Source organism: Homo sapiens, chromosome X, assembly GCF_000001405.40.
Source record: "Homo sapiens chromosome X, GRCh38.p14 Primary Assembly".
Classification (NCBI taxonomy): Eukaryota; Metazoa; Chordata; class Mammalia; order Primates; family Hominidae; genus Homo; species Homo sapiens.
In genome coordinates, this window is record NC_000023.11 from 82,486,747 (window position 1) to 82,499,569 (window position 12,823).

At 34.4% G+C, this 12,823-nt stretch overlaps 1 pseudogene across 1 annotated transcript; it reads right to left on the reverse strand.

The window, feature by feature from the left end:
* Positions 1 to 10,069: 10,069 nt before the first annotated feature.
* EIF3JP1 (EIF3J pseudogene 1) lies at positions 10,070 to 11,199 on the reverse strand (annotated as a pseudogene). The gene has a single exon (NR_170311.1). The product of NR_170311.1 is annotated as an EIF3J pseudogene 1 (transcript).
* Positions 11,200 to 12,823: the final 1,624 nt, after the last annotated feature.

Here is a 12,823-nt window from a genome sequence, read left to right on the forward strand (position 1 = left end):
ATTCTCAAATGCTAAACAGAATTAACATGTGATCTACCAATTCCACTTCTGTTTATATACCTAATGAATCAAAAGCAGAAAATAGAACAGATATTTATTCATCCATGTTCATAGTAGCATGATTTATAATAACCAAAATATAGAAGCAAACCAAAGATCCATAGACAGACAAATGAATAAACAAAAGGTGGTTATGTTCATCTGTTCATCTACTTGAGCTGTAATAACAAAATACCACAAATAGGTAGCTGAAACAACAGAAATTTATTTTCTCTTAGTAGTTCTGGAAACTGTTAAGTCCAATATCAAACTGCCAGCATGGTTGGTGTTTTGTGCGATATCCCTCCTTGGGTTGCATATGGCCTTGTTCTTGCTGTGTCTCATGTGGTAGATAACCTCGTCTTATAGCTTCACCCTTAGGATCTCTAATTTTGATTATCTCTTAAATACCTTATCTTCAATTGCAGTAACATTTGCAGTTAGGAATTTGACATATAAATTAAGGGCAGAACACAATTTAACCCATAGCAGTGATAGACACATACAATGAAATATTAGTCAGCTTTAAAAAGGAATAAAATTTTGATACATACTGCAACATAAATAAACCTTGAAGACATTGTAATAAGTAAAAAAAAAGACATTCAAAAATGACAAATATTCCTTTCATTTCACTTAAATGAAGTACCTAGAATAGTCAAATTTATGGAAATAGAAAGTACAGCGGTGGCTGCCAGAGACTGGAAGAAGAGGAGAATGGAGAGTTAGTAAAAAAATGTCTAGAGAGTTCCAGTGGGGAAAATGAAAAAGTCTGACAGACAAAAGGTAGTGATGGTTGTACAACAATGTGAATATACTTACTATCACAAAATAGTATGCTTAAAATAGTTATAACAGTAAATTTTATGTTATGTATATTTAAACACAATTTTTTAAAAATTGAAAATGGGAAAATTACTACCAATCATACAGAAATAAAAAATTATCAGATAGACTATGAATAATTGTACACTGACAAATTAGATAAATTAGATTAAATTTAAAAAATTATAGAAATATACAAATAACCTAATCTGATGTAAGAAGGAATTGGAAATTCCCAACAGCTATAAAAACAAAAAAGAATAAATTGTTTATTTAAAAGCTTCACATTAAATGCCTATATCAAAAAGTCTGAAAGAGCAGAAATAGACTATCTAAGGTCACACCTCAAGGAACTAGAGAAACAAGAACAAACCAAACTCACACCCAGCAGAAGAAAAGAAATAATCAAGATCAGAGCAGAACTAAATGAAATTAAGAAAAAAAAAATACAAAGGATAAATGAAACAAAAAGCTGCTTCTTTGAAAAGATTAATACAATTGATAGACCATTAGCAAGATTAACCAAGAAAAGAGGAGATAAGATACAAATAAGTTCAATTAGAAATGAAACAGAAGATATTAAAACTGATACCACAGAAATGAAAAACATTATTAAAGGTTACTAGGAACACCTTTACATGCATAAACTAGAAAACCTAGAGGAAATAGATAAATTCCTGGAAATATACAACCCTCCTAGATTAAACCAGGAAGAAATGCCTATTCTGAACAGACCAATAACAAGCAGCAAGATTCAAATGGTAATTAAAAAGTTACCAAAAAAGTCCAAGACCAGGCAGATTCACAGCTGAATTCTATCAGACATTCAAAGAAAAATTGGTACCAATCCTATTGACACTATTCCAAAAGATAGAGAAAGAGGGAATCATCCCTAAGTCATTCAATGAAACCAATATCACCCTAATACCAAAACCAGGAAAGGACATATCAACAACAACAACAAACTACAGACCAATAACTCTGACAAACATAGATGCAAAAATCATCAACTAAATGCTAGCTAAAAGAATCCAACAGCATATCAAAATGATAATCTACCACGATCAAGTGAGTTTCATATGAGAGATTCAGGGATGGTTTAACATACAGAAGTCAATAAATGTGAAACACCATGTAAAGAGAATTAAAAACAAAGATCACAGGATAATCTCAATAGACACAGAAAAAGCATTTGACAAAATCCTGCATTTCTATATGATTAAAACACTCAGAAAATTGGCATAGAAGGGACATATCTTAAGGTAATAAAAGCCACCTATGACAAACTGACAGCCAACATTATACTGAGTTGGGAAAAGCTGAAAGCATTCCCCCTGAAAACTGGAAGAAGGATGTCCACTTTCACAACTTCTCTTCAACATAGTACTGGAAGTCCTACACAGGACAGACAAAAGAAAGACGTAAAAGGCATTCAAATCAGTAAAGAGGAATTCAAACTGTCACTGTTTTTTGATGGCATGATTGTATACCTGAAAAACCCTAAAGATTCATCCAAAAAGCTCCTAGGACTGGTAAACTGATTCAGCAAAGTTTCTGGATAAAAAATTAATGCACACAAATCAGTAGCTCTGCTATACACCAACAGTGACCAAGCTGAGAATCAAATCAAAAACTCAACCCCTTTTACAACAGCTGCAAAACAAACAAACAAGCAAACAAACAAACTTTGGACTATACCTAACCAAGGAGGCGAAAGACATCTACAAGGAAAACTACTGAAAGGCTGGAAGAAACCATAGATGACACAAACAAATGGAAACACATCCCATGATCATGGAAGAGTAGAATTAATATTGTGAAAATGACCACATTGCCCAAAGCAATCTACAAATTCAATGCAATTCCCGTTAAAATACCACCATCATTCATCACAGAACTAGAGAAAACTATCCTAAAATTCATGTGAAATCAAAAAAGAGCTCACACAGTGAAATCAAAACTAAGCAAAAAGAAAAAATCTGGTATCAAAATAGGCATAGAGACCAATGGAACAGAATAGAGAAGCCAGAAATAAAAGCCAAATACTTATAACCAACTGATCTTCATTAAAGCAAACAAAAACACAAAATGGGGAAAGGACACTCTACATCAAATGGTGCTGAGATAATTGGCAAGCCACATGTAGGAGAATGAAACTGGATCTTCATCTCTCACCTTATACAAAAATCAACTCTAAATGAATCAAAGACTTAAATCTGAGGCCAAAAACCATCAAAATTCTGGGCGATAACATCGGAAACACCCTCCTAGACATTGGGTTAGGCAAAGACTTCATGACTCAAAATACAAAGGCAAATGAAACAAAAAAAATGAATAGATGGAACTTAATTAATCTAAAAAGCTTCTGCACAGCAAAAGAAATAATCAGCAGAGTAAACAGACAACCCACAAAGTGGGAGAAAATCTTTGCAGTCTCTACATCCAACAAAGGACTAATATCCAGACTCTATAAGGAACTCTAACAAATCAGTAAGAAAAAACAAACAATCCCATCCAAAAAGTGGGTTAAGGACATGAATAGAGAATACTCAAAAGAAGATATACAAATGACCAACAAACATATAAAAAATACTCAACATCACTAATGATCAGAAAAATGAAAATCAAAACCACAATGTGATACCACCTTACTCCCGCAAGAATGCCTATAATCAAAAAATCCTAAAACAATAGATGTTGGCGTGGATGTGATGAAGAGGGAACACTTTTACATTGCTGGTGGGAATGTAAACTAGTACAACCACTATGGAAAACAGCATGGAGATTACTTAAAGAACTAAATGTAGAACTACCATTGGAACTAGCAATGCCACTCCTGGGTATCTACCCAGGAAAAAAAAGAAGTTATTATACCAAAAAGATATTTGTACCTGCATGTTTATAGCAGCACAATTCGTAATTGCAAAAATATGGAACCAGCCCAAATGCCCATCAATCAATGAGTGGATAAAGAAAATGTGATATATATATACATATATATATATATCACATTCCTATATATATATATCACATTCATATATATATATCACATTCATATATATATCACATTCATATATATATATCACATTCATATATATATATATATACACACACGCATACACACCATGGAATACTACTCAGCCATAAAAAGGAATGAGATAATGGCATTCTCAGCAACTTGGATGAAATTGAAGACCGTTATTCTGAGTGAAATAATTCAGGAATGCAAAACTAAACATTGTATGTTCTCAATCATAAGTGGGAGCTAAGCTACGAGGATGCAAAGGCATAAGAATAATACAGTGGACTTTTGGGACTCAGGGGAAAGGGGGAGAAGGTGGTGAGGGATAAAAGACTATACATTGGGTACAGTGTACACTGCTTGGGTGATGGGTGCACAAAATTTCACAAATCACCACTAAAAAACTTATTCATGTACAATAAATAAATAGATAATTAGCATTAAAAAAACTCCCAACAAAGAAAATCCAGGACCAGATGGCCTCACTGGTAAATTACATCACACATTTAATAAATTATCACCAATATTTCTCAAAATCTTCTAAAAATTAGAAGAGGAGAGATACTTCTTTTTTTTTTTTATTATACTCTAAGTTTTAGGGTACATGTGCACATTGTGCAGGTTACTTACATATGTATACATGTGCCATGCTGGTGCGCTGCACCCACTAACGTGTCATCTAGCATTAGGTATATCTCCCAATGCTATCCCTCCCCCCTCCCCCGACCCCACCACAGTCCCCAGAGTGTGATATTCCCCTTCCTGTGTCCATGTGATCTCATTGTTCAATTCCCACCTATGAGTGAGAATATGCGGTGTTTGGTTTTTTGTTCTTGCGATAGTTTACTGAGAATGATGGTTTCCAATTTCATCCATGTCCCTACAAAGGACATGAACTCATCATTTTTTATGGCTGCATAGTATTCCATGGTGTATATGTGCCACATTTTCTTAATCCAGTCTATCATTGTTGGACATTTGGGTTGGTTCCAAGTCTCTGCTATTGTGAATAGTGCCGCAATAAACATACGTGTGCATGTGTCTTTATAGCAGCATGATTTATAGTCCTTTGGGTATATACCCAGTAATGGGATGGCTGGGTCAAATGGTATTTCTAGTTCTAGATCCCTGAGGAATCGCCACACTGTCTTCCACAATGGTTGAACTAGTTTACAGTCCCACCAACAGTGTAAAAGTGTTCCTATTTCTCCACATCCTCTCCAGCACCTGTTGTTTCCTGACTTTTTAATGATTGCCATTCTAACTGGTGTGAGATGATATCTCATAGTGGTTTTGATTTGCATTTCTCTGATGGCCAGTGATGATGAGCATTTCTTCATGTGTTTTTTGGCTGCATAAATGTCTTCTTTTGAGAAGTGTCTGTTCATGTCCTTCGCCCACTTTTTGATGGGGTTGTTTGTTTTTTTCTTGTAAATTTGTTTGAGTTCATTGTAGATTCTGGATATTAGCCCTTTGTCAGATGAGTAGGTTGCAAAAATTTTCTCCCATGTTGTAGGTTGCCTGTTCACTCTAAAGTTCATATGGAACCAAAAAAGAACCCGCATCGCCAAGTCAATCCTAAGCCAAAAGAACAAAGCTGGAGGCATCACACTACCTGACTTCAAACTATACTACAAGGCTACAGTAACCAAAACAGCATGGTACTGGTACCAAAACAGAGATATAGATCAATGGGACAGAACAGAGCCCTCAGAAATAATGCCGCATATCTACAACTATCTGATCTTTGACAAAGCTGAGAAAAACAAGCAATGGGGAAAGGATTCCCTATTTAATAAATGGTGCTGGGAAAACTGGCTAGCCATATGTAGAAAGCTGAAACTGGATCCCTTCCTTACACCTTATACAAAAATCAATTCAAGATGGATTAAAGATTTAAACGTTAGACCTAAAACCATAAAAACCCTAGAAGAAAACCTAGGCATTACCATTCAGGACATAGGCGTGGGCAAGGACTTCATGTCCAAAACACCAAAAGCAATGGCAACAAAAGCCAAAATTGACAAATGGGATCTAATTAAACTCAAGAGCTTCTGCACAGCAAGAGAGATACTTCTTAATTGGTTTTATGAAAAGAGCATTACCCTGATACTAAAGTCAGACAAAGTTTCACAAGACATGAATATAATACACCAATATTCCTTATAAGTATAAATGCAAAAGTCCTCAATAAAATACTATCAAACTGAATTCAACATCATATTAAAATAATTATACACTACGGACAAGTGGCATATATTCCAGAAATGTAAGATTATTTCAACATAAGAAAATCCATCAATGTAACAGCACATTCATGGAATGAAAGGGGAAACAAACCATGATTCTCTCAATTGACACAAAAAAAAATCACTTGAAAAATCTGACATTCTTTCATGATAAAAACACTCAGAAATCTATTAAAACAAGTGGACTTCCTCAACATGACAAAGGGTATATACAAAAAAACCCACTGGTGACATCATACTCAATGGTTAAAGACTAAAACATTTTCCTCTATGATCAACAACCCTACAAAGATGCCACTGTAACAAATACCTATTCTATATTTTCCTGAAAGTTCTAGCCAAAACAATTAGAAAAGAAATAAAAGGCATCCCAATTGAAAAGAAAGAAGGAAAGCTCTTTTCATGAATGACCCAACCTATATATGTTGGGTCATTCATTAACCAAAATAATTTAAAAAGGATACTAGAGTAAAGCAACAAATTCTTCATAGTTGAACAGAACAAGATCAACGTAAAAATCGCTTATGTTCATGGAAATCATTCAACAATCCAAAAATACTAAGAAACATTAAGAAGCAATGTCAATAAAAAATAATTAAAATACCAGGAAATAAACTGAAGAAAAGAGCTAAAATGCTTGCACATTGAAATCAATAAACCATTGATTAAAAAATAAAGAAAATCTAAATAAATGCAAAGACGTGATGATCATGGAAAACTTAATATTGTGAATAAGGCAATACCACCCAAAGTGATGTACAGATTCAATGCAATATACCAAATATACTTTTTATTTTACTGTAAATGATCAATTTATAGTTTTACATATTTATAGAATAGAAAGTGATTCCCTACCAAAATTTTAACAAGAAATTAACAGCTTTTCTTCATGTTATCCTATCACTATCCCACTCAGTCCAAGCTGAAAATTATTCTACTGATAAAACTCTATCTCCATACCTAGCTTCTGCTGAGATGGCTGAATGGATCCATAAATCACAAGCCCATAATCCTTTAAACACCACATACACTCCCTTAGTCCACCCTCCGGCATATACTTTCTCATGTTTTGCCATACGTATAGACTGAGCATTTCCCAAATCTTCATATTTTTGTTCTCTTTTTGTAACAATACAACCTTCACTTTGTCTTTCTCCTCTTGCATTTTACTAAGCAACAAGGAGAAATGAGAACATCCATTCAATGCTTTGCTTAAAAAATTTCTCAGATCAATATTAAAGTTCATCACTTACAAATTCTATCTTCCACAAAACAATAGAACAAATTGGGAAATATTTGTAGAAACTTTAAAACAAGAAACACCTTTCCTGCAGTTTCCAATAGCATGTTCCTCATTTCTATCTGATGTCACCAGTAACACTTTAGAATTCATATTTCTACTGACATGATGTTCATGACTATATATATACATATATGAATATATGTATATATGTAATAGCCTTCTCTAAAGCTCTTCTCTTTTTTTTTTTTTGAAACCTCACCAGAGTCACTGTTGAAGACCACATTTCTACCAAATAACTCTTCAAGACAATCTAGGCTTTTGTAATGTACACCTCAGAATTACATCAACCTTTACCATTATCTAGTTTCAAAGCCACTTCCGTATTTGTAGATATTTTCTTTAGCACCCCCCTTCAATTTCTGGAACAAAATTCTGTATTAGTTTGCTATGTGTACCATATCAAATATTCAGAAATTTATATTTTTACAGTTCTATTATAGAAGACTAGATACCCAAAATTAAGGTGCCAGGAGGGTTGATCTATTTTGAGGCCTCTTTCCTTGGCTTGTAGATGGCCACTTTGTCCGTGTCTTTAAGTGGCAATTTCCCTGTGCATTTCTGTGTCTTAAACTCCTTTTCTTAAAAGGACATCAGTCATATTGAATTAGGACCCACCCCAATGACTTCATTTTACCTTAATTATGTCTTTAAAGAGCTTATCTTCAAATACAATCTGAGATACTAAAGAGCAGGACTTCCTTAACATATAAATCATGGGGAGACACCATACTTCGCATAAAAAATGGTATCTCCCATTCTGTGAATTGTCTTTTCACTATTTTGATAGTGTCTCTTAATGCAGAAAAGCTTTGAATTTTCACAAACCTTTTTCTTTTGTTGCATGTTCTTTTTGTGTCATATCCAAAAATCATTGTATATCTAATATCATGAATCTTTTTCTGTGTTCTTATAAAAGTTTCATAGTTTTAGTTCTTACATTCAAGTCTTTAGATTGATTTTTAAGTAAATTTTTGTATATGGCTTAAGGTAAGAATACACTGTTCTTTCTCCACTTAATTGTATAAGGATATTTGGAGAAAACCTTTTGATTGATTATATATGTGAGGGTGTATTTCTGGACTCTCTATTTTAATCTATTGTTATTTATGCTTGTCTTTATTCAAGTACTACATTGTTTTGATTACCACACATTTGTAGGAAATCCAAAGTAAGAAAGTGTAAGTCCTCCAACTTTTAAATTGCATTACAACTTTTTTGGCCATTATTGGTTTTTAGAGTTTCCATGTTTAGGATATGGAATTTCACCTAAATTAGGATTCCACTTTAGGATAAGTTTTGGTATTTCTGATAAAAAAGTAATTGCAATATTGACTGGGATTGCATCTGTAATCTTAATAACATTAAGTCTTCTAATCTGAAAACATGAGACATCTTTCTATTAATTTACATCTTCCTTAATTTTTTCAAAATTTTTTAGTTTACAGTGTATAAGTCTTATTTCTCCTTGACAATTTAAAAAAATTGTAGAGAAGGAATCTTTCTTTACTGGCCCAGCTGGTTTTGAACTCCTGGGCTCCTGTGATCCTTCTGCCTCAGCCTGCAAAAGTGAAAACTGCCTCAACCTCCCAAAGTGAAGGCACGAGCCACCATGCCTGGCCAAGATTTGTTCTTTACTAAATTTATTGAAAAAAGCCTTGTCCACATCTCCTTGGATTCATTATAAGGTATGAGAGTCTTTCCCCTTGGCAATTTCTGTTTTTTTTGTTAACCATTATTTTAGGTTGAGGTGTACATGTGCAGGTTTGTTACATAGGTCTGTCACAGGGGTTTGGCATACAGGTTATTTTTTCATCCAGGTAATAACTATAGTGTACAGTAGGATCTTGATCTTCACACTCCTCCCACTCCCCACCCTCAAGTAGGCCCTGGTGTCTGTCATACCCTTCATTGTGTGCATGAGTACACAGTGTTTAGCTCTCATTTATAAACGACAACATGAGATGTTTGGTTTTCTGTTCCTGTGTTACTTCACATAGAATAATGGTCTCCGACTTCATCCATGCTGCTGCAAAGGACATAATTTTGTTTCTTTTTATGGCTGCATAGTATTCCATGGTGCACATGTGCAACATTTTCTTTGTGGCCCCAGTGTCTGTTGTTCCCCCCGTATCTCCATGAGTTCTCATCATTTAGCTCCCACTTATAAGTGATAATATGCGGTATTTGGTTTTCTGTACCTGCATTTGTTTGCTAAGGATAATAGCCTCCAGCTCCATCCATGTTCCTGGAAATGACATGGTCTCATTTTTTATGGCTGCATAGTATTCCATGGTGTATATATACCATATTTTCTTTATCCAGTCTACTGTTGATGGGCATTTAGGTTGATTCCATGTCTTTGCTATTGTGTACAGCGCTGCAATGAATATACACATGCATGTGTCCTTATGGTAGAACAATTTATATTCCTTTGAGTATATACCCAATGATGAGATTGCTGGATCAAATCACAATTCTCAAAGGGAATACTTCCAGCTTTTCATTCAGAAATTGCCAAATTGCTTTCCACAATGGCTGAACAAATTTACATTCCCAACAGTAGTAAATAAGCATTTCCTTTCTGTCACAATCTCTGTGGCCAAACTGTGGCCAAACTGTAACCAAACTGTGACCAAACTGTAGTTAACTGGTGCAGTTTGCTGAGCATGTTTTATAAAGGAAAGGAAATGCCAAAACCCTGGTAAAGTTGTTCCATTGCAGCCTAAGAGAACAAAGATTTATTTCTCATCACTTACATCAGGCAGATAAAAATTAGTTTCCCTCCCCTACCTGAAGCACTTCATCAGTAGAAATAGCCTGATAAATAACTAGACAGTCTTTGCACTCAAGAGATTCCACAAAATGTAATGCAATAATGGAAAGGTTTACCTTCTTTAGCTTCAAAGTTGGAGGGTTTTGGTCATTTTAATTTTATATCAAACTAGTGCTTTTCAGCCACAGTATCTTCACTCTGAGATAAGAAGTTTTCTTCACAATGTATTTTTAATATCCTCATGTTCAGTTTTAAGACAAAGCAACTTTAATACTAGGTGCACACCACATGACCTTCCTGCAAACTGCTTTTCTTGACAAGTTATGAAGTAGTTCAAGGAGGTATGGTTAAGGCTGTATTACTGAATGGTGCTGGTAAATACTACACAATTTTTTTTTGTCATGTTGCAACCTTTTGTTTCCAATTTAGTGACTGCTACTATGAAATCAGATAACTACAATGACAACATTATTAGGTTTTGAACTATGATTTAGTAGCAACTTAGGTTCCCAGTTTTAACCCCTTGGCAGCAAGATCCAAGTTCCCTCATTTGCACATTAGCACCTAAGTGTCAAGGGATTAAATAACCAGCACAAAAGATACTGCACTTCTGATTGCAGCATTTGGCAGAACTGAAAGGAAAGGAAGTTGTGCTACATGTTCAAGGGATTGTGGGCAACATAAAGATGACACCAAGAAAGATAAAATGTCACATGAAGTCTTCATAATCTTGTACATATCCTCCATCATAACCACCATAATCTGCCGGATCATCTTTCATGGTGGCTTTTAATCCTCCTCCAGGAACCACACCTTTCTTCTTTTCTGCTGTGCTTTGCTTTTCTTGCTTCTGTTTTTCATTGCAAAGCACTGTCAGTGAATTGGCAATTTTTTTCAAGTCATCAATTTCCAAGGAAATACACACATCTCAAACTAAGACTTCCAAAAAACTGGCATAATATAGTGACTTTTCATTTTGTGTAATTTTTGACTTTTTGGTAATAACCATACTGACTGGTGTGAGATGTTATATTATTGTGATTTTGATTTGCATTTCTTGAATTAGTGGTGTTCAGCATTTTTTCATAGGCTTGTTGGACACATGTATATCTTCTTTTGAAAAGTCTCTGTTCATGTTTTTTGCCTAATTTTTAATAGGGTTGTTTTTGCTTCTTAATTTGTTTAAGTTTCTTACAGATTCTGGATATTACACCTTTGAAGTATAGATTGCAAATATTTTCTCCCATTCTGTAGGTTGTCTGTTTATTCTGTTGATAGCTTCTATTGCTGTGCAAAAGCTTTTTGGTTTAATTAAGTTCCCTTTATCAACTTTTGCTTTCCTTGCAATTGTTTTTGCTGTCTTCATCATGAAATCTTTGCCAGCACCTATGTCCTGAATAGTATTTCCCAGGTTATCTTCCAGGGTATTGATAGTTTTAGGTTTTACGTTTAATGTAAAGGCTTTAATGCATCTGGAGTTGATTTTTGTATATGGTGAAATGAAGGGGTACAGTTTAAATCTTCTGCATATGGGAAGCCAGTTATTCTAGCACCATTTACTGCACAGGGAGTCTTTCCTCACTGCTTGTTTTAATCAGCTTTGTCAAAGATCAAATGATTTTAACTGTGCAGAGTTATTTCAGGGCTCTCTATTCTGTTCCATTGTTCTATATGTCTGTTTTCATACCAGAACCATGCTCTTTGGGTTAGTGTAGCTTTGTAGTATACTTTGAAGTTGGGTAATGTGATGCCTTTGGTTTTGTTGTTTTTTGCTTAGGATTGCATTGGCTATTTGGGCCCTTTTTTGGTTCCATATAAATTTTAAAACAGAGTTTTTCTAATTTTGTGAATAATGTCATTGGTAGTTTGATAGAAATATCACCAAATCTGTAAATCTCTTTGGGCAATATAACATTTTAACAATATTGATTCTTCCCATTCATAAGCATAAAATGATTTTCCATTCATTTGTGTCATCTCTGATAGCTTTCAGCAGTGTTTCGTAATTCACCTTGTAGGGATCTTTCACTTCCCTGGTTAGCTGTATTCATAGGTATTTTATTCTTATAGTGGCTATTAGCAATGGGATTTAATTCTTGATTTAGCTCTCAGCTTGCATGTTAGTGATGTATAAAAATGCTACTGATTTATGTACATTGAGTTTGCATTTTAAAACTTTGTTGAAGTATTTTTTATCTGAACTTAGGTACTTTGGGGCAGAGACTAGCAGAGATAGTTTGACTTTCTCTCTTACTATTTGGATGCCTTTTATTTCATTCTCTTGCCTGATTGTTCTGGCCAGGGCTTCCAGTATTATGTTGAACAGGAATGAGAAGAGTAGGCATTCTGGTCTTTTTCTGATTCTCAAAAGTGGTGTTTCCAGCTGTTGCCCATTCCATATAATGTTTGCTCTGACTCTTTTCGTAGATGGCTCTTATATTTTTGAGATACGTTCTTTCAAAGCCTAGCTTGTTGAGGGTTTTTAATATGAAGGGATGTTGAACTGTGTCAAAAGTCTAGCTTGTTGACACTTTTTTATATGAAGGGATGTTGAACAGTATCAAAAGCCTTTTCCTAATCTATTAAAATGGTCATGTGCCTTTTGTTTTTAG